At 38.9% G+C, this 24002-nt stretch overlaps 1 long non-coding RNA gene and 1 pseudogene across 1 annotated transcript; both read right to left on the minus strand.

Annotated features, from left to right (window-relative positions):
- Positions 1–9973: 9973 nt before the first annotated feature.
- Positions 9974–23983, minus strand: LOC105375002 (uncharacterized). The gene is made up of 4 exons (XR_926667.3): positions 23816–23983; positions 16454–16618; positions 11223–11373; positions 9974–10673 (listed from the first exon to the last, which is right to left on the minus strand). It is a non-coding gene; the product is annotated as an uncharacterized LOC105375002 (long non-coding RNA).
- On the minus strand, positions 14671–15598 carry OR2AD1P (olfactory receptor family 2 subfamily AD member 1 pseudogene; annotated as a pseudogene).
- Positions 23984–24002: the final 19 nt, after the last annotated feature.

The following is a 24002-nucleotide window of genomic DNA, read 5'->3' on the forward strand; positions in this document are numbered from 1 at the left end:
ACAGTGTCACAGCTGGTAAGTTGAGGGTGGGAAACCCCGGCCTAACACATATATTTTCTTTTTATGTTCTGTAAGGATTGGGATCCTTTTCATTTTATTAGACAGAAAAGGACAGTTAGCACTGTCATTGAACCCTCAACATGGTATGATCTCTTGAGAAGATTAAGCAGCCATTTGGTGGCAGATTGATCACTTTGAACCCTTTCTATTAATACCTTGCAGTGGGCAGAGACTCATCCTTATAGGGATTTGTATGTATTCCAGGTATAATTTTGCTTCCCTGTCTCCAATGCCCCTGCTAATACTACCCAAGGACTCACAATGTCTGATGTACTGACATGGAACCTTGCCTTACATCTCAGACCAAGGGACTCACTTTACTGTGAAGGATGTGTTACAAAGGGCACATGATCATGGGATCTACTGGTCCTACCTTATTCTATATTACACAGAAATGGCAGCCTGTTTTTCCCCAGCTTTGCCAACATAATAATTAGCAAAACTTTTTAATTATATGATAATATATTTCAGGAAGAAAACACTGACAACCGTGAAATTCAAACTAGATAGTAGAGAAACTGGAATTGGGGAGACCAGTTAGAAAGCGGTTTGGAAACAAAGATACACATGAGTTTTAAAGCTGTGGGCTAATGTAGATGTTGATGTGATTATAAGTCTCTGTTAAAAGAGTTAGGGTGAGGTTTGAGGTGGTTTTAGATTATTATTTTTGCTAAAGAACCCAGAAATGACTAAGTTTATCCCTGTCAATCACTTCTGACACTCTACTCATATCATGTTCCTAAGGAAGTTGAACAAAAGGAGCGATAGCCAAATGGGACTAACTATAATAGCTAATATTTATTGAGTACTTATTAATACTGTACTAAAGATATTGTGTGCTACATTTTACTTAATATTCTATGGGGCAATAAGCAGAACTATTCAGAAATGATCCTGGGATCTCACTCTAGATTGCCCAGGAAATGTGCTAGCTACAACTGGAGTTTCCCGTTCCTCTTGGAAAGAGGGGCTGCACCTACGTATAGCTTTGCATGAGACCAGCTGCTTACACTTTCTAACACGAAGGGGCTGCAACTGTCCATAGGATGCATGGTCTCCAGGTGTTGGGCATCTGGTCCTCAGATGCTTCCTCAGCTCTGCTAGCATCTAAACCCAGACTGCCCGGCAATCAAGTAGTCTGCTTGTTGTCTTACTGAAAAGTGGTGTTCAAGTTTATCCTTGACAAGATAGAATAATTGGGTCAGGACCAGAGCCCCAACCTATTGCATGTGAAATGGCTTGTTCTTGCCCCTGGTTCACCTCTCCATGGGATTATGAGAGGATTGAGAACTCTATGCCTCTTGTGCCTGACTCTTGCTTTCTAAGTTTCCCCAGTAAATCTTATTCCCATTCCTTCGTTCATACTATGTGATGTTGTAGAATTTATTGCAAGGCCCATTGTACCACATCCTTGCAGCAAATTTATGACTCAGAAATTACTATTTCTATCTTAGAGATGAGGAATATGAGACAGAAAAAGTCACATAGCAGGTAGGTGGTAGGATTTGAAACCAAGTCATCTAGTTCCTGAGCCCATGATCTCAAAAACTTTGTTAAACTAAATGGAACTACTAATTTATAAAGAGCTAAGTGAGTGCTCAGATAATCAAATAATCACCCATGGAGAAGTTCAAATCTCTTGCAGAAGTTCAGATCTCTGTTGGAGCATGTAGCCTAGATTTAACCTCCAGTGGTGCCTTTAACTTTGTCCTAAGTCTTAGGCTTGTGTCAACTGCTGGCCAGCTACATGGAGGAAATAAGTTGAGAAAAAGCAGGAAGCAACATGGCTGGGTCTACAGAGAAGATCCAAGTTTAGCTGTCTCATGCTCTTTGGGCCCAGAGGAGAGGAAAAGCAAGACAAAGTCTTAAACTTTCCACCAGATATCAAGACCTTGTTGATGTCCTAGAACATGACCAATCAGATTAATGATGGCTCTACCTGGGAAGAGTAGCTGAGAAAGGATTAAGTTGAGGCAGGCCTGGTGTGGGCAGATGTTGTTGAATGTTTCCCACTACCCCTTCCAGCCCACTGGAAGAATGGGTTTTTTAAAAAAACATACACTCAAGATGAGCTCTATTAGTCATTTCCTCATCTCACTTATTATTCCAGTTAAACCAAGGCTGAAGGACAGAAAGATCACAAACTTATTAATCTCTGGACAAACCTAGCTCAGGGCCAGAATCAGGAGGGTGAATCTCAGGAGGCTGTAACCCAACTGATTGCAAATAGGATTTTGGAATAACAGTTTCTGAGGTGTCACAAAGAACTGTCAGCCCTTGTGTCTGTTCTCTAATAGAATTTTTACTTTCTTCTATGATCCCAAATTTCATAAACTCATACTATAACTAGGAAGTAGGCAGAAATGTCCTTTTGATGAACCAAATAATCAGAAACTTTTCTAATAATCCTCTTTGTGTATTTTTCCAGCCACAGAACTGAGTCATTCATTACCCAAAGCTAAACCCTGCCTACATGGTAACGCTTTTGTAAATGGGATTCTTTCTCTCTGACATCCCTTTTTCCTGCAGTCCCTTATACCCTCTCAATACCAGTGTGGCTCAAGGGGCCTTCAGTTCTGTCCTAATTCAGTCTCACATTCAAGCTGCACCTCCTTAGGCACCAGAATGCGAGAGAAGGTTGTTCCTTCAGGGAATATTTTCTTTTGGCAGGGCCATGTCACTGAGTCAGGCTTACTAATTATGTCCCAAGGTGGGCTCAGCCTCTGGCCCTTCAAGGAGCTTAGAGAGCTCTGGAGAGCTAAAGGACGCAATTCCACTCAGTTCCCCTAGGGACTTGTTTTGTTACGACCCTGTAGCGGTTGCCGCCAGCCTCCCGTCCCCGGACAGCGCGCCTCTTTCCTCCGCGCGGAATCTCGCCTTGCCGAGAGGTGACAGCGTGGTGCCAGGCCTCGCTCGCTCTCCGCGCCTCCTCGGCCTCGGCGCCCACTCTGGCCGCGCTCGAGGAGCCCTTCAGCTTGCCGCTGCACTGTGGGAACCCCTCTCTGGGCTGGCGAGGCCGGCTCCCTGTTTGCGGGGAGGTGTGGAGGAAGAGGCGGGAACTCTCTTGCGGGCCAGTGCGAGTTCCGGGTGGGCGCGGGTTCCGGGGGCCCCACACTCGGAGCGGCCGGCCGGCGCCACCGCTCCGGGCAGTGAGGGGTTTAGCACCCGGGCCAGCAGCTACGGAGGGGGCGCTGGGTCCCCTACCGCTGCCGGCCCACCCGCGCCGCGCTCGCGTGCTTCAGCCGCCTCCTCGCGGGGCAGGGCTTGGGACCTGCAACCTGCCATGCCCGAGAATTCGCGGTGGGCTCCTGCGCCGCCGGAGCCTCCCCGACGATTGCCGCCCCCTGCTTCACGGCTTCCCGTCCCATCCACCGCCCAAGGGCTGAGAAGTGCGGGCGCACGGCGCGCGGGACTGGCGGGCAGCTCCGCCTGCGGCCCGGGTGCAGGATCCACCAGGTGAAGCCAGCTGGACTCCTGAGTCTAGTGGCGACTTGGAGAACCTTTATGTCTAGCTAAGGGATTGTAAATATACCAATTAGCACTCTGTATCTAGCTAAACTGGTGGGGACTTGGAGAACCTTTATGTCTAGCTAAGGGATTGTAAATACAGCAATCAGCACTCTGTGTCTAGCTCAAGGTTTGTAAACAAACCAATCAGCACTCTGTGTCTAGCTAATCTGGTGGGGACTTGGAGAACCTTTATGTCTATCTAAGGGATTGTAAATACACCAGTCAGCACTCTGTGTCTAGCTCAAGGTTTGTAAATACACCAATCAGCACTCTGTGCCTAGCTCAAGGTTTGTAAATGCACCAATCAGTGCTCTGTGTCTAGCTAATCTAGTGGGGACTTCGAGAACTTTTGTGTCTAGCTCAGGGATTGTAAACACACCAATCAGCACCCTGTCAAAACGGACCAATCGGCTCTCTGTAAAATGGACCAATCAGCAGGATGTGGGTGGGGCCAGATAAGGGAATAAAAGCAGGTTACCGGAGTTGGCCATTGTAATTTGTTTTGTCCTGTTTCACATTGTGGTGGTTTTATTTTTTACTATTAGCTGCTTGGATCTGCATTTTGTTTTGTGAGGTGTAACACTGTGAGGGCCTGTAGTTTCACTCTTGAGGTCAGCGAGGCCACGAACCCACCTGGAAAAACAAACAGTTCCAGATATGCCGCCTTAAGAGCTGTAACACTCATTGTAGAGGTCTGCGGTTTCACTTCTGAAGCTAGCTAGTCGACGAACCCACCAAAAGGAACAAACTCCAAACACGTCTGACTATCAGAAGGAACAAACTCCAGACACGTTTTTTAGAACTAACACCCTGAGGGTCTGCAGCTTCATTCTAGAATCATGCCAAGAACTCACAAATTTCTGACACATTGCTTTTCCGCAGGAGGTTGCGGGAAGACGTACAAGGAAGGGTCGGGATGGTGCTTGAGGTGGTCAGAGCCACACCCAGGGCTGCATTCTCATCAGAGACACCTCTAAGTTACTGCGAAGTCGGAGACACCAGAAAGGAAGACTCCAACGTATTCCGAGAGGAGTGGAGGCAAATGGGATAGACTAGCCCTCCCGCCCGGGATCCCGCGTCTCGGGGAACGGAGACCCGGGCACACGCCACTTGCTTGCTGGGAGGTTCCTTACAAGTTACATAGAGGGGGAGCTTTTCCTGGCCAAACGTGGGTTATTCTCGTTCTCCCTTCCCCACACTGTCGCAGAGGAGGAAGACGTCTTGGTCGCCGTTAAGAGCTAAAACGAACGCCAAGGCTCTAAGTGGCCCTGGGGTCCAGGCTCGCCGGAGGCACCAGCGTGTGCAGGCCCGGAGCGCCGTCTTCTGGGCGAGGAGTGTCATTAGTAACACTTTATGTTGCGGATAGGTGAAAGAAAAACTGACGCTTCGGAGATGGGGTTGCCCAAAGAGGAAGAGAGAACAGCGATTAGGGCCTTAAACCTCACACCCGAACAAATTCGGCCGGAGTTACTGAGCGGCAGGCTCTCTGATGGAGATGGGTGCTTTCAGACTTAAGACGTGAAAACAAAGATCAGCCACTCATGAACGAACTCAAGGCTCACTGAGATGCAACTGCCATGAAGAAGTGGGTGCAGGGTGAGAGGTCTGTCTACCTCCTTAGAAGGACCACTGTGGCTTGTGCAGAGATCCGAAGTTTGTTCTCATTACAATGGGGACGGTGAGTGCTAGTAATGTGGACCATTTTTCAATAGCGCCACCTTGTGGCAGTGACAAAATGGCCGTAGTGGACTTGGGCTCAGGTGCTTTCTTGAGTGTGCAAACTGGTAAGAACTAATTTTTTGAATCAGATTTGGGGATTATTCAGGCAGAAGGGGATCCCTAAATGGAAACACTGACATTTTAATACTGCAAGTGGGGGATGATGAACAGACAAATAACAAGCAATGGGGGGCCACATTTGTGTTCAGAATTCATGGAACTTTTTTTTTTGATTTTTCTATTTCTCATTTTTTTAATGTATGTATTTTGAGGGTACATGTAATATTTTGATACATAACGTATAAAGGTCAAAGATAAGGATAATTTGTGTGTGTGTGTATATATATGTATAAACTTAAATGTCCTTTTTGCTTGGAACGTTCAAATTTTTTTCTAGTTATATCTAAATATATATCAAGCAATCTTTTAGATATTTTGAAATGTCTAACATTATTTTGAGACAGAGTCTAGCACTGTCACCCAGGCTGGAGTGCAATGGCGTGATCTCGACTCACTGCAACCGCTGCCTCCTGGGTTCAAGCGATTCTCCTGCCTCAGCCTCCCAAGTAGCTGGGATTACAGGCATACGCCATCACACCGGGCCAATTTTTATATTTTTAGTAGAGGCGGGGTTTCACCATGTTGGTCAGGCTGGTCTTGAACTCCTGACCTCGTGATCGGCCACCTCTGCCTCCCAAAGTGCTGGGATTACAGGCGTGAGCCACCGCGCCCAGCCAGAAGTGTCTAATAGATTATAGTCACCCTACTGATCTATTGAACTCTGGTTGTCTTTCTTCTACCTAATTGTATACTTATACCGTTTAACCAACCTCTCTTTATCCCACGTCTTCCCTCCTCTTTCCAGGCCCTGATAACCACCATTGTACTCCCTAGCTTCATGAGATCTTCTGTTTTAGCTCCCACATAGGAGTGAGAACATGCAGTATTCATGAATCACACTCATCATGAGCGATCTTCTTGGTTGTTGAATTGGGGTTGCTAGTTATTTTGAGAATTTTTGTATCTATGTTCATCAGGGATTTTGGCCTGTAGTTTTGTTTTTGATTTGATTTCTGACACAGATTTTGCTGTATCCTTGTCTGGTTTTCACATCAGGGCAATGCTGGCCTTGTAGAATGAGTTTAGAGGAATACCCTCCTCTTCAATTTTTTTTAAAAGAGTTTGAGTAGAATTGGTATCAGTTCTCTAAATATTTGCTAGAATTCAGCAGTGAGGCCATAATGTCCTGGGCTTTTCTTTGATGAGAGACTTTATTAAGGCTTCAATTTCATTACTCATTATTGGTTTGTTAGGGTTTCTATTCATGGTTCAATCTTAGTACGTTGTATATGTTTAATAATTTATCCATTTTTTCTATGTTTTCCAATTTGTTGGTGTATAGTTGTTCATATTCTCTGATTCTTTGTATTTTTGTGGTCTGTTATATCTCTTTTTTTTTCTTTCTGATTGATTTATTTGGGTTTCTCTTTTTTAGTCTAGGGAAAGGTTTGTTAATTTTGTCTATCTTCAAAAAATCAACTTTTCATTTCATTGATCAAATGTATTTATGTTTTAGTTTCAATTTCATTTATGTCTGTTCTGATATTTATTTCTTTCTACTAATTTTGGATTTGGTTCATCCTTGCTTTTTTGAGTTCCTTGAGATCCATTTTTAGGTTGATTATTTGAAGTCTTTTCCCTTTTTTGATGTAGGTGTTTATTGCTATAAAGTTATTGTTATGCTGTATTCTGTAGGCTTCGGTATGTTGTATATCTATTTTCACTAGTTTCATGAAATTTTTAAAATTTTCTTAGCTTATTCATTGACCCATTGGTTGTAGGAGCATGTTGATTTCCATGTGTTTGTATAGTTTCCAAGGTTCCTCTTGTTGATTTCTGGTTTTATTCCATTGTGATCAGAAAAGATACTTGATATAATTTTTACTTTTTTGAATTTGCTGAGACTTCTTTTGTGACTTAAGATATGGTCTGTTCTGGAGAATGTGCCATGTGCAAGTGAAAAGAATGTGTACTCTGTAGCAGCTGGGTGAAATGTTCTATAAATGTCAGGCCTACTTGGTCTAGTGTGTAGCTTAATTCCAATGTTTCTTTATTGATTTTCTCCCTGGATAATCTGTTACTGAAAGTGAGGTGTTGAAGTCCCTACTATTATTATATTGGAGCCTATCTCTCCCTTGAGATTTATTAATGTTTGTTTTACATATTTGGATGCTCTGGTGTTGGGTGCACAGATATTTATAATTTTTAATATCCTCTTGATGAATTGACCCCTTCATCATTATATAGTGACCTTTTGTCACTTTTTACATTCCTTGACTTGTAGTCTGTTTTATCTGATATAAGTATACCTAATCCTGTTCTCTTTGATTTCCACTTGCATGGAATATCTTTTTCCATAAATTCACTTTCAACTTATGTATGTCCCTATAGGCAAGGTGGGTTCTTGTAGCACCACATAGTTGGGTCTCGTCTCTTTACCCATTTAACTTCTATACATCTTTTAATTGGAGAATTTGGTCCATTTATATTCAGTGTTATTATTGATAAGTAAGGACTTATGACTGCCATTTTGTTGCTTGTTTTCTGGTTGTTTTGTAACGTCTTTCTTCCTTTATTCTTTTGCTACTGTATTTCTTTGTGGTTAAGTTATTTTCTCTGGTAGAATGCTTTAATTCACTGCCTTCTATTTTTAGTGTATTAATTACAGATTTTTGCATTGGGGTTACCATGAGGCTTACAAAACATATCTTATAGCTACTTTGTTTTATTATTACTTATTATTCTGATACAGGGTCTCTGTCACCCAGGCTGGAGTGCAGTGGTGAGATCTTGGCTTACTGCAGCCTCTACCTTATTGAACTCAGGCAATCCTCCTACCTCAGTCTCCTGAGTAGCTGATACCATAGACACATGCCACCATAGCCAGCTAAGTTTTGTATTTTTTGTAGAGATGAGGTTTTGCCATGTTGCCCAGAGTGGTTTTGAACTCCTGAGCTCAAGTGATTAGCTAGCCTTGGCCTCCCAAAGTGCTGGGATTACAGGCATGAGCCATGGCGCGCAGCTGATATTTTACAAAGATGACAACTTAACTTTGATCACAAAGAAAAGACTAGAAACAAACAAAAAAACTTAAATAACCCCCACAAAACCCTGCCCTTTAACTCTATACCCCTACATCTTGACTTTTTGTTGTCTCGGTTTACATATTTTTATATTGTCTATCTCTTAGCAGGTCACTGTAGCAATTATTGTTTTTGATAGGTTTGTCTTTTAGATTTCATACTACAGTTATAAATGGATTGCACACCACAATTAGAGTATTAGAGTATCCTGGGTATGTCTTGTACTTAATGTTACCAGTGGTTTTTTTCCTCAAATATTTTCTTTATGCATGTTAGCATCTTTTTCTCTTAGATTGAAGGACTTCATTTGCCATTTATTTTAAGATAGGCCTGGTGGTAGTGAATTCTCAGCTTTTGTTTGTCAAGGAAAGATTTTATGTCTTCTTCATGTTTGAAGAATAGCTTTTCTGGTACATTAATCTTGGATGGCGGTTTTATTTCTTTTAGCACTTTGAAAATGCCATCCCACATCTACCTGGCCTGTATAGTTTCCATTGAGGAGTCTGTTGCCAGAATAATTGGAGCTCTTTGTATGTTATTTACTTCTTTTCTCTTGCTGCTTTTATTTTTTATTTTATTTTATTTTTTTTGAGACTGAGTTTTACTCTTGTCACCCAGGCTGGAGTGCAATGGTGCTATCTCTGCTCACTGCAACCTCTGCCTCCCGGGTTCAAGCGATTCTCCTGCCTCAGCCTCCTGAGTAGCTAGGATTACAGGCACCCACTACCATGCCCCACTAATTACTGTATTTTTAGTGGAGACAGGGTTTCACCATGTTGGCCAGGCTGATCTCGAACTCCTGACCTCAGGTGATCCACCTGCCTTGGCCTCCCAAAGTGCTGGGATTATAGGCATGAGCCATGGTGCCCAGCCAACTTTTGTAATCCTCTTTGTCCTTGACCTTTGAGAATTTGATTATTGTATGTCTTGGGGTGGTCTTATTTGGGTTGAATCTGTTTCATGTTCTCTAATCTTGTACCTAGATACTTATATATTTCTTAAGTTTGGAAAGTTTTGAGTTATTTCTTTGGATAAGCTTTCTAATTTTTGCTCTTTCTGAATTCCCTCTTGAGCACCAATCATTCTTAGATTTGTCCTTTTGAGGTACTTTTCTATATTATTTAGGTGATCTTCATTCCTTTGTATTCGTTTCCCTTTTTTCTCCTCTAACTGTATTTTCAAATAGCCTGTCTGAGTTTACTAATTCCTTCCACTGTCTGATCCATTCTGCTGTCGAGAGTCTCTAATAAATTTTTCAGTTTGACAAGTATATTTCTCAGTTCCAAGATTTTTGTTTGATTTTAAAAAATTATTTTAATCTCTTTGTTAAATTTCTCTGATAAATTTTTGAATTGCTTTTGTGTGTTATCCTTGAGTTCACTGAGTTTCTTTAAAACTGCTATTTTGAATTCTTGGTGAGAGAGCTCACATACCACTGTCTTGCCTAGGGTAAGTCATTGGTTCCTTGCTTTGTCTGTTTGGGGAAGTCATGTATATTAGTCTGTTCTCACACTGCTATACAGAAACACATGAGACTGAGTAATTTATAAAGAAAAGAGGTTTACTTAGCTCATGGTTCTGCAGGCTGTACAGAAAGCATGACAGCATCTACTTTTTTTTCGCCCTCTTGGTCTTGCCTTCTTTCTGACATCACATGGAGTCTGCAGTCCAGGTTTTCCTTGGCCCTAGTAAATGACTGGAGCACTGCCGGACCCAAATGTAGAAGGTCTTACGGGGGATATCCCAATAGGGTGGGAAGTCTGGCTAGAATTTCGTGCTCAGGGAACCTGTGGAACATACCTCCTATGGTGTGTCGCTGCTGACCAGCTTCGCTGATTTGGCGTCTCCTTTGGCTGAGTTAAAGAAGAGTGTTTCTAGGGTTGGGGAAGGAAGTCCCACCTCCCCACTTTTTCTCTGGTTGTCTTTGGGAATATTTCTCCCTTTAAGTACTTAGGGACAGATCTCTTGCCAGGGAATCCAAGATGGTGGGGAAACTGGTTATCCACTTCAATCTCACTTTTTCCAGTGTAGAAACTGGCGGTGAGGTGGGGGAAGTTTTCCACATGCTTGGTGCTAGGCAGATTTGGGAGAGGGATGTCACGGATTTGGAAGTCTGATTCTTACAGCGTCTGCTTGAAGTTTTTTACTTCTTTGTTGCCACGGGCACTGTTCCATCTTCATATTTGAGTTCTGGGATATTGCTGGTGATAATCTCAGCACCGTGTATTTGTTGTAGGTTTTCTGTGGAGGAAAAATAAAGCCAGCTTCCTTATATGCAGCCATTTTGGAACCAAACTCTCACACATTCCATGGAACATTTCTAGCCAGCAAGGTACAATGACTAGCAAGGAAACAAACTTTTTTTTTCCTTCAGTATTTCAGTTGACTCACAAGAACATGAAATGTGACCTATCTTTTCATGTGGCCAACTTTAAATGTTAACTTAATATCTTAGATAAAAATAGTTTAAAATACACATCCATTTAAGTTAAAAAGAATAATTTAAAGTTTTATTATTCTTTGATAGTTTTTCTTTTGATGCTACACCTAGTGACTACCATATTTTAAAACAGACATGTTCTAATTGCTCTTGAATCTTCAACTCGAAAGAAACTATGGTTTTATAAATTAGTGATAACAGTGAGTGTCCTCTTTAAAAAATATCTGCCATTTCTGACAAATGACAAATAGCTGATATTATTTTTTCTTAAAAGGAACTCTATTCTTTTAACATACAGTCTCTCTTGTTTAATAAAACTGAAAGTAAAGAATAGATAGAAATAGTCCTACCTCAGTTCAGGTCAGGTTTTGTTGCCAACAGAGTTATGAAAACTTTTAGTTTTCTACCTGGGTGTGGTAGCTCTCACCAGTAATACCAGCTACTTGAGAGAACTGCTTGAGGCCAGGAGTTTGAGACCAGCTTGGGTAACATAGTGAGACCCTGTCTCAAAGAAAAAAAGGAAAGCTTTTAGTTTTCTGACCATTTTATTTTTGTTTATTTTAATTTTTTTATTTCAATAGGGTTTTGGAGGGACAGGTGGTGTTTCCTTACATGAATAAGTTCTTTAGTGGCGATTTCTGAGATTTTGGTGCACCCATCATTTGAGCAGTGTACACTGTACACAGTGTGTAGTGTTTTATCCCTCACCAGCCCCCACCCTTTTCCCCGAGTCCCCAAAGTCCAATGTATCGTTCTTATGCCTTTGCATTTCTGACCATTTTAGATTCAGAATTATGGATAAGGGATTTTCAGCCTATACTGATCATGTCTAGAAGTTCTGTTTGTTTCTTTAAAAAAAAGTTCATGTAGCAGCAGATAACTAATACAACCAGAAATAAATGAGATATTGTTTCCTCAAATTCTTTTTTTTTTTTTTTGAGATGGAGTCTTGCTCTGTTGCCCAGGCTGGAGTGTAGTGGTGCAATCTCGGCTCACTGCAACCTCTACCTCCTGGGTTCAAGCCATTCTCCTGCCTCAGCCTCCGGAGTAGCTGGGACTACAGGTGCCCACCACCACGCCCAGCTTACTTTTTCTATTTTTAGTAGAGATGGGGTTTCACCATATTGGCCAGGCTGGTCTTGAACTCCTGACCTTGTGATCTGCCCACCTCAGGCTCCCAAAGTGTTGGGATTACAGGCGTGAGCCACCATGCCCAGTCACAAATTCTTGATACTATATTATGTTATTGTTACCAGGCAAAAGGGGCTCACTGCTGGATGTGCTAGAAGCTAATACTATGACACTGGATTTCTAAGAAAAGAAAAGCTCTTTATTATAGGTTGACCAATAAGGAGACAGGAATCTAGCTCAACTGTATCTCCCTGTGCTGGCTTTAAGATAGTAATTTTATTAGAAAAGGTTTGCGGGTGGATTCTGGGATTAGCAGGTGGTTGGTGGAAGGAAAAGGGAGGTCTAGAAAGTCCTCAAATGCACAGTTATCTCCATTCCTCTTCATGGGTCCCACATGCAAATTCAAAGGGAGTTAGTATGAAACATGCAGTGGAAATCGGGCTGTGACATTAACAAGCTTGTTCTGTGCAAACTCCATTTGGTCATGTTGGTTCCAACTAATTTTGGACACTCTTGTTATCTCACAAATGGAGGGAATTTCAGCGTTTCAGCAAGTTATTTATTTTCTTATCTGCTATCTGGCAAACTCAAGATTTCTGTTAGTTATTGGTTTCCTATTCTTTGGGGCACAATTTCAGTTTCAACTTTTCAGCAAGTTGTTTCTTTTTTTATATACTATCCTATAAACTCAAGAATTTTATCATTAAAAAAACTCTTTGGGGCATGATTTTTTCATCAAACTTAAAAAAAAAATCCCCAATATAACAGAGAATTTCCAGCATTTTAACCTGAAACTGAAGACCATTACTGAATGCAGTTTTCAATTGCCAATCTAGAAGTTTACTAATTCTGTGTATTGGATGTGCATATCCTTGTCAATCATTTTGGCCTAAGGGAGTCTTTCTTTTAATCATCTTTTCAAATAGGAAAAAGCACCAAATTAAGTGTTTTCTCAAACTTTTTCATTATAGTTATTTCATTTCTAACAAAATTTTAGTGCCACAGTTATATTGTGTAACTGCTTATGTACAGAGGCTCTTTGGAGGACCACCAACCATTGTAATACCAAAGATTTTTGCTACCTCCCCTTGAATCAATTTTGCCCCTGTGGGGATGATATCATCCCTGATATGAAGGCATATATTGAGAGAAATAAGACAAACTATTAAACCAAATTTTAATAGATGACAGTACTTTAAAAGAAAATTAATTTAAAAATTTAGTCATTTCTGGGATAAGATAATGAGCAATTTCTTTTATTTCTCTTATTTTCTAGTTTCCATTATGTACTTATATATACCTCTAGGGGATGTTGTAAAGATTCTATAATATTATGTATGTATTCTATAATATGTATGTGAAAGAAAAACTGTATCTTTTCCTTTGCTAACTCATAGATGTTTAAATATATTACATTTTAGGTGTTAGATGATTTATATATCTTCAGTGTTAACACAAACTGAAGATATTGCTCTAATATTCATCACCCAATGAGAATTTGTGATATTCTGCAGATTTGGTAACATTTTCATGGAGATTTAATAAAAAACATTGACATATTCATTCTACAGACATTTATTGGCTATGTAATTCATGTCAGAAACTGATTCGACACAGCAAAATCACGTGAATAAGAAGGTCTATATTGTTGAAAAGCTTACCAATGCATCTTCTTCAAACACACATACAAACAACTAAATAAAAATGGGATAATGCCCTATACTTATATGGTCAGGGTTTTCAAGGACTATAGACCATAGACTGATGAGATTCATAAATACTTTTCAGTTGAGACAAGATTTCAGCAGGGTATGAAGGTTGAATAGAAGGTTTTTAAGTGATAAATGCCTAGCAAGATTTAGGATCACTCATTTTTAACAAAGGAAAATTGATACTCTTTTTTAGTGGCCACAATTTTATCATTCTATACTTTTGTCTTTCTTCCATAGTCCTTATGACACCATGAAGTTTACAGTGTCTTCATGCTTTCCTTATCCTGATTTCACTGTCCTCTCTCATATTTTTTTATGTTTACCAAGGTATGTACAACTGACAATTTTAGAGTCATCTGCAAAGAAAAGATAACTATTAGGTACTGGGCTTAACACCTGGGTGATGCAATAAGATGTATAATAACCCCCCATGACACGTGTTTATGTAACCTTCACATGTACCCCCAAACCTAAAATAAAAGTAAAAGAGGAATCAAAACCTTGAAATAAAGGTATGATGTTCTTGCTGTGGAAATTTAGAAGCCACAGGGTTTAAGGATTGTAGAGACATCATAAGCCCTATTACTCCCATCTTCCTACTCAATTACTTCATGTAAGCTGTGGCTTACTCTGTCTTTGAAATGACATAGCAAGGGCACTATAGATATGGGGAATCTTTCACTTGCAGAGAGGATTTTCAATCTCTGAAATGGCTGATTTGCAGAGAAGTGGAGTCGTTTATTCTCTAGCACAGGGATTTCCAGATTTTGAATGTATTTACCAGTAAAACAAAGTAAAGCAAAGTAAAAACATAAGCTTGCTAAATTTTCTTTTGTCATTTAAGAGCACCAAGCTTTGAGCGTGAATGTGCTTTGGATAAATGAATTGATTTCACTTCTCTTGATAAATGCCAATATTTCTTTAGTGCTCTACATTCTACTTTTTTCCATCTAATTCATGATTCTGCTGAAGATTTTTTCATCCACAGTATTCTCTTCAGTGCACTCTTTACATCTTTGTTTCTTAAAGTGTAGATGGGAAGGTTAAGGCTGGGTGTGATGATTGTGTAAAAGAGTGAAGAACTTCCCTTCATCTTGGGATATGGTATTCTGTGGCTTCATGTATATATAAATGATTGTTCCATAAAACAGAATTACTACTGTGAGGTGGGAGCCACATGTATTAAGGATCTTTTGCAACCTTGTTGCTGACTTGATCCTCATTACAGCTTGAGTGATAACTCCATATGAGATAAGAATTAGTGATAGAGGTACGAAAAGAAATACCACTCCGAAAGCAAAGACAACAATCTCAATTACTTTTGAATAGACACAAGCCATCTTGATCAATGCTGGCATCTCACAGAAAAAATTATCCACTTCCCGGTGCCCACATCTTGGCAACTTCAAAGTCAAGGAGCAAACAATTAAGGCACTGGCAAGACCACTCAACCAGGCAGTGGCAAAGCTGAGGGTGCATTTTAAGGTGTAGTGAAGAGGTTGACAGACAGCAGCATAACGATCATAGGCCATCACAGCCAACAGAAGACATTCTGTGGCTCCCAAGTCAAGGACAAAAAAGAATTGGAGTACACACCCTCCATAAGTAATAGATTTTTTTGGGCCCCATTGATTTGCCAGCATCTGGGGGATAATGCTAGTTGTATAACAGAGGTCCAAGAAAGACAAATTGGATAAGAAAAAATACATGAAGGTATGGAGCTGGGTGTCTAGATAAGATACAAGAATGATGGTTGTATTTCCTACCAGAGTCACAATATAGATGATGAAGACAACCACTGAGATGATGTGCTCTAATTGGGGTCGATCAGAAAACCCCAGAAGGATGAAATCTGTTCCAGAACTTACACTGCTTGTTTCCATTGTTCCTTAAGAAAAGCTAGCAGGCAATATCATGGTAACCAAAAATAGTGTCAGGTTTAGGTAGAACTGAAAATCTCTGAAGTTTCTCAAGGGTATCCAAAACTCTCTTATTTGCATGCTCTCTCTCATTTGGAACATCTCTTTTAACATTTCCCTATGGCCCAGTGCTCACAACTTGTTCATATTTAATCCAAAATTAATAATATGCTAAATCCAATCAGGCTGAATTGTAAATCATTGAAAAAACTTAATTTGCTATGTCATTCATTGTTCTATGTATTTCAATTAAGTAATAAAATCATGAAGTCAATTATGTGATTTTAAGAGAGGCATATGTATTGAGGAGTTGTTCCTCTTTGAAGCTATGACATAAGCATCACTTGATCATGATAAATCCTTGCATTATTGAAGGAGTTAAGCTTGAGGTAAAAAGTTAAATGACATCTTTTTTTGGAATAAACTCCACCATTTGATAGCAGAATCACTTTCAATATTTACTTGCAAATATCTACATTTCAGCCATTATAATTATAATTATCCTCACCACCAACTTACTCCTCCTCCTTATATTTTTTTTACCCCTCAACATTGCAGGCACTGTTGTTATTCTATCAATTTTGGTGTTCCCTACTACACTGCCTTTTTTTGTGAGTGTGTTTTTTGTTGCCAGGAAATAATTATCTTTCTTATTAATATTTACTTACATGTATAAAGGCCTATATGTTTTTTAAACAGCTTTAATGACTAATATTACACCATCTAAACAGCCTTACTGATTTGTTGCAGTTAAATATTGAGGTAATTCCAGAACTATTTGGCCACCACGTACAACGATCTGTGTCCAATCCTACTTACCAGCCATTCAGCAGAATTAGCTGGGCGCTGGGCAGGTAATTCAAACAAAAAGCAGTTCATTAAATAGCCAGAGTTGTTTTAATCTATGGAATTTACCAATCCAACATGAGTGGATGTTCTGATTGCTTTGAAATCCTTTAGGTAAAACCATCACCCCATTGGGCTCTAAAAGAATACAGATACAGATAAAAATGTCATCAATCTCACCATTTCTGATTATTGTATCATATCACTAAGTAGACAAAATATTTAATGACTGACTGAGTTAGTTTTTTTTTGTTGTTGTTGTTTGTTTTTTTTAAAGATAGATTCTTGCTCTGTTGGCCGGATGCAGTGGCTCATGCCTGTAATCCCAGCACTATGGGAGGTTGAGGTGGGCGGATCACTTGATGTCAGGAGTCCAGACCAGCATGGCCTACGTGGGGAAAAATTTTGTATTTTCTACTAAAAATACAAAAATTAGCTGGGCGGTGTGGTGCGTGCCTGTAGTCCCAACTACTTGGGAGGCTAAGGCAGGACAATTGCTTGAACCTGGGGGCGGAGGCCACAGTGAGCCGAGATCGCACCGCTGCACTCCAGCCGGGGCGACAGAACGAGACTCTTGTCTCAAAAAAACCAAACCAAACAAAACAAAAATCTTGCTCTGTTGCCTAGGCTGGAGTGCGGTGACACAGTGACAGCTCATTGCAGCCTGGACCTCCGGTGCTCAAGTGATCCTCTCAACTGAGCCTCCTAAGTAGCTGGGACCACAGATGCATGCCACTGTGTCCAGGTAATTTTTAAATGTTTTTGTAGTGATGAGGTCTCACCATGTTGTTCAGGCTGGTTTGGAACTCCTTGGCTCAAGCAATCCTCCTGCTTCGGCCTGAGCCCTGGTGTCGAGCTAATGGCTGAATTAGTTTAAACATTTTTTCTGCTGATAATTTCTGACCACGAAATTCAGACCTACCATACTTTACATTTATAGTGTCCTTGAGGCCATGGAATAGAAACCTCATTTGTTTCTGGTATATAGTAAAACAAGGGGAAGATAGATCATTTATATATGTCATTGTTATAAGTGTTTCAGTTAGAACAGAATAATGTTATAATCATAAAGAAGGAAATGTTATCAAGTAGTATGAGATAGAGGTGTAGTTTTTCACAGCACAAAAATGGAAATCTAATTAATAAGTGTCCAGTTTTTTTATTTTTCGCAATAGGTTGTCAACTAAGGAATGATAGTGCTTCATTGCACAGATTCTGAACTCAAAGTCCCTGGCATCAAATTCCAGCTTCACCACTTGGAAGCTGTATCCTTGGGCAATTATTTAACTTGTTTGTGTAGGAGGTTCTTTATACATGAAGAAAATATAATAAAATTTCCTTCCTCAAAGGGATGTTGTGAGGGTTAATATTTATAAAAGCACTTGGAACTGAGCTTGGTTCATCTTTAATTCTAAAAATGATAACCTATATTCACCTGTCATTGTTATTCTGTCTACCCCTTAGTCCATTAATTTTTCACACTAGTGATTTTACCGCAATGACCTAGAACTAAACTGGAATGTTTTTTAAAAAATTTGTGTAACTTTAAAATTTAGAAACATTTTTATATACACAAAAATATGCAGAATCACAATATGCACATTGAACTGAAAAGCTTCAGGAGCAGGAGATGACTTGAGGTCTCCAAATGCTTTGATTAAAAAATTCACTCAAATTCTTTTGACTGCTGTTGGGTTTGTGTTGGGAATTAAAAGGTCATGAATTTCAAAGTGGAAAAAAACCTCAGAAGTCATGAATCTAGCCTTCTGCTCTGCATAGGAGATCCTTCAACAGAATCGCTACACAGCTGCTACTGGCATAACTTCAGTGACAGGGAAGTCAATTACACTTGAAGCAGCCTCTCTCCTTTAGTCAATGCTGCTTATATTGAACTCAAAGATGATTCCTTGCCCAGCCCTGGCTGATTTTCTTTATTCTGAAAATAACACAGAGTAAGTCAATTTAACATGGCCTCATAAAAACCCCAGTATTATTATATGAACAGTGCATGGATACAACAAATAAAAAGTAAAGCTTGGTGAGTTTCAGTGTATATTCTTGTAACTATCACCTAAATCAATAAATAAAACATTGATGATTACCCTAGGAGCTTTTCTTTGTGCCTTTTACCAATGATAACTCTTCCCTATCCCCTGAAGTATCCACTATGCTGCTATTTATAGTAATCCCCTCTTTGCATGTTAGTAGGTTAATTACCCAAATGTGCACCTCTAGACAATATTGTATAGTTTGGCTTACTAAAAATTTTTTATATACCTTTTAACTCTCTTTTAATATTAGAAACTGTTACCAAATATATGCTTAGATTTCTCTTCCCAGACAAAGCACATTGTTAGCTGTTCCTACCACTACATGCTCTTTTATTACCATGCTTTTTCTTGTTGCTCTCCCTGGACACACCATGATTTGTCAAGTGCTGCAAATTAGTGAGTATAAAAGTAAGCACGATACTCCACTTATGCAACACTACTGAAGAGAATAGTGAATGTCTATGATCTGCATAATTTTCTAAAATATACGTTGGTTATTTTTAGCAGGTATAAGACATTACTGGCTCTCTTTAAACTTTGGATCACGTAAAGCCCTAGGCATTCTTATTAGAAATGCTGCCAAGTCAGGCATGACAATTTATGTAGTTTAATGTTGTGAACTCAAATACAGGACTTTTCATTTAATACTTTTTAACATTTTCATATTGATTTAAGCTTTGGATCTCAAACCAGATATTTTAATTTCAATTTAAAAGTGAATGTGTTATTTGAAATGAGACTTACAACACTCCAGCTGAAGAAATAGATGGCAAAAAAGAGGCATGCTACATTTTAATCGAAACTCAGTTTTTCATTTTTCATAGTATGGACTTCAGAGCCCAATAATCGCGCATAACTTAACATTTTGCTTTCTCCAGTGAAATCTGAGACAAATGAACCAAACATATTTCAACATAATTTATGATATTGAGAGAAAATTAGAAGCACAAAATTTCAAAACTGTCTAAAATTTTATAAAAAGTAAAAATATATGGATCTTTTATTATAAAGCATGAGGTATATTGCTGTAGTCATACAAAATTCAAGATGAAAGGACGAAATAAAAATAGGTAAGACCCTAGACTGGTTCAGACCGCCTGTGATTTTTGTTACAATTGATCTCAGCCATTTCCTTACTCTGTGGACTTGAGCAGGCTAATTAACTTCTTTAGCCTCTGATTCCTCATCTGTAAAATAGCTATTCTAATAGCACCTGCTTTGTAGGATGGCTATGAGGAGGATTACATGCTATGCTAAATATTTAGCATGATGCTTGGTGCATAGAGAGCATTCAGTAACTTCAAAATCCACTAACTGCTCTTGTTGAAGTTTAATCCTCACTCCTGAGGATTAAATTTATATTTAATCCTCAAAATGTTAGTATTATTTATATCTCACATACCTTTCACATTTTTGCTTTCATGTTAGACTGAGTCTTACGCTATCTAGGATCTGTTTTCTACCTGGAGTCATCCTCTGTTAGAGATAGCAGAGAATACTTACCAGAAGCTGAAAAGATTAGAATATATTTTCATGAAGGAAGAATTCAGAGCTGTCATGTTCTCATGTAGTCCAAACATACCCATGTTCCCATTATGACGTTTCTTCATTTAATTAATAAATTAGAAAAAAATTCTTGTTGGATGAGTTACTAATGCCCTGAAGAATTGGATTAACCACTGGTCATACTGACACTACAGTGCCATTCACACTTAAATGCAACAGCTGAAATAAGATTTAATAGAAGTCTCTATTTAATGTGGATATTGGAAGTAAACTAAATGTGGGACTGGTGAAAATCCTTAATTAGGTTTGGTTAAATATATTTTCGGTTGGCTATTTGATGTCTTTTTAATGTATACTCTTGTTATTCATATTTACAGCTAGATTTTTGCCTAATTAAACAAGGAGAACACTGTGTTGGTCAATGTATATTCCAAGAATCATTAACATGTAGCAGGGAAGTATTTATTTACAGCTCTAAAGGCTACCTATGTTGATATGGTTTAGACCTTGAGGACTGATGCCCCACAGAGGTGATTAAGTAAAGCTATGACTGTGGTCAGAGGCATATCCAAATAATAATTTCATGAAAAGTTCTCTTAACACATTAGGTTTCGGCCAGGCACAGTGGTTCATGCCTGTAATCCCAGCACTTTGGGAGGCCAAAGCGGGTGGATCACCTGAGGTCAGGAGTTCAAGACCAGCCTGACCAATGTGGAGAAACCCCGTCTCTACTAAAAACAAAAAATTAGCCGGGCATGGTGGTGCATGCCTGTAATCCCAGCTACTCAGGAGGCTGAGGCAGGAGAATCACTTGAACCTGGGAGACGAAGGTTGCGGTCAGCCGAGATTGCGCCATTGCACTCCGGCCTGTGAAACGAGCGAAACTCTTGTCTCAAAAAAAAAAAAAAAAAAAAAAAAAAAGACGTTGGGTTTCATCTTTTCTTTTTCTTTTTAAGTTTTTAAATTTAAAAATTTGGAGATTAATTATATATTATATTAAATTTACATTGAAAAATGAATATATGATGTAAACTATATAAAAATGAACACATTTACTTGAAATTTGGTTTATTCAATTGGTAAGATCAAAATTGGATAAATTAAGTTATGTAGGTGTTGTGTCTATAGGACAAAATATTTAGTTTTAAAAAATTTATGGGATAATCATAATTCTAGGTTTATGAATTATTATCATCGTTCTATTTTCAGCAAATTAAAAATAGTATGAACACTCTGGAGCTTATCCCTCAATTTATGGTCTGGAAACTTACCACCATCCCCAGCTTCTGGTAATTACCATTCCACTCTCTGCTTCTATGAGTTTAAGTTTTTCAGATCCTCATTTAAATGAGATCATGTAGTATTTGCCTTTCTGTAACTGGCTCATTTAACTTAACATCATAGCTTCTAGGTTCATCCGTGTTGTTGGAAATGACAGGGTTTCCTTTTTTTGTTACGAGTGAATAGTACACCACATTTTCTTGATTTATTCATTCATTGATGAACACAAAGTTTGATTCCATATCTTTGCTATTGTGAATAATGCTGCCATAAACATGGGAGTGCAGACATCTCTTTAACATACTGATTTCAATTCCTTGGATATATACCCAGTGGTGGGATGGCTGGATCATATGGTAGTTCTATTTTTAATTTTTGGAGTAACCTCCACACTGTTTTATATAGTGGCTGTATTAATGTACATTCCCACTAACGGTGTGCAAGGGTTCCTTTTTTTCCCTACATTCTCACCAAGCTGTTATCTTTGCTTTTTATGACAATAGCCATTCTAAGAGTATGAAGTGATATCTCACTGTGCATTTAATTTACATCTCCCCATTGATTAGTGATGTTGAGCATTTTTCATATACATGTTGGCCATTTGTAGGTCTTCTTTTGAGAAATGTGTATTTGGGTCTTTTGCCCATTTTTATTTTCATTTTTAAAATTTTTAAATTATTTTATTTTATTTTTTATTTTTATTTTTGAGATGGAGTCTCTCTCTGTCTCCCAGGCTGGAGTGCAGTGACACAATCTCGGCTCACTGCAGCTTCCACCTCCCAGGTTCAAGTGATTCTTGTGCCTCAGCCTCCTGAGTAGCTGAGACTAGAGGCACGTACCACCATGCCTAGCTAATTTTTCTATTTTTAGTAGAGACGGGGTTTCACCATGTTGGCCAGGCTGGTCTCGAACTCTTGACCTCAAGTGATCCACCCATCTTGGCCTCCCAAAATTCTGAGATTAGAGATGTGAACCAACACAGCCAGCTCCATTTTAAAATAGAATTATGTTTTCTTGTTTGAGCTTCTTATATATTTTAGATATTAGCCCCTTATTAGATACATCATTTGCAAATATTTTCTCCCACTCCATAGGTTGTCTTTTCATTATTTTATTTGTTTCCCTGACTGTACAGGAGCTCTTTAATTTGATATAATCTCATTTATTTATATTTGCTTTTGTTGACTGTGCTTTTGAGGTCATATCCAAAAAATCATTGACCAGATCAATGTCATGGAGCATTTCTATGATTTCTTTTAGTAGTTTAATAGTCTTATGTTTAAGTCTTTAATGCATTTTGAGTTGATTTTTGTATATGGTTTGAGGTATGCATGTAATTTCGTTCTTCAACATGTGGATATTCAGTTTTTCAACACCGTTTATTGAAGAGACTGCCCTGTCCCCATTGTGTGTTCTTGGCACCTTTGTTGAAAATCAATTGATTGTAAATGTATGGATTGATTTTTACGCTATTTTGTTCCATTGGTTTTTGTGTCTGTTTTTATGCCAGTATCCTGTTGTTTTGATGACTATAGGTTCACAGTAGATTTTGAAGCCAGGTATTATGATGCCTCCCGTTTTTTTTTGTTTGTTTGTTTTTTGATTCAAGGTTACTTTGGCTATGGATTTTTGTGGATCCAGACAAATTTTAGAATCGTTTTTTCTATTTCTCTACAAAATGACATTGGTACTTGGATAGAGATTGCATTGAATCTTTATTTGGGGTAGTATAGGTATTTTAAAAATACTAATTTTCCCAATCCATGAACATGAGGTATTTTTCAATTTTTGTGTCTTTTGTAATTTTAAATATCAGTGTTTTATAGTTTTCAAGTGTACAAATCTTTCACCTCCTCGGTTAAATTTGCACCTAGTTATTTTAATTAATTTATTTTTTAATTATGATTGTTTACTTAATTTCTTCTCAGATGATTGTTAGTGCATAGAAACACTACTGATTTTTGTATATTGATTTTGTAACCTGTAACTTTACTGAATTTGTTTATTTGAATAGCTTTTTTTGTTGTTGGAGTTCTTAGGGTTTTCCAAATAAAGGATCATGTCATCAGAAGAGACAGTTTCACTTCTTCATTTCCAATTTGTATGCCTTTTTTTCTTTTTCTTGCCTAACTGCTCTGGCTAGGACATTCAGTACTATGTTGAACAGAAGTGGTGAGCGTGGGCATCTTTATCTTGTTCTGGATCTTAGAGGGAAAGCTTTCAACTTTTTATCATTATGATATTAGCTGTGGGCTTGTAATATATGGCTCTTATTGTGTTGGCAAAAATAGATTCTCAGAATATAATCTCCAGATTTTGTAATCCACTGATACAATTACATACTGATTACCTACTCTGTAATATGGAATTTAAAAAATTCCATGTGTGATTTTCTAACTCTATCATAGGTCGGTAACCTCTATACATCTGGAAAGGCTAGATGTGGCAAATGTTTCCTTGTAAAAGTTTTGGGGGAAGCTGAGAGCAGCTTTCTCACATTATACACGCAGGTCTCCTATAAACGCCGGTACATCCTCCCAAAGCGTGATGGGAATCTCCAAATCGCTAAATGTGTCCTGTTACTCCGTTTCTCTTTTCCCACATCAACGTCTGGTAGAAGGAAGGCCAACTGCCCCATGGTCGCTACCATTCCACCCGTCCTCATCCGGGACTTCGCTGACCTT

Source organism: Homo sapiens, chromosome 6 (assembly GCF_000001405.40).
Source record: "Homo sapiens chromosome 6, GRCh38.p14 Primary Assembly".
Taxonomy (NCBI): Eukaryota; Metazoa; Chordata; class Mammalia; order Primates; family Hominidae; genus Homo; species Homo sapiens.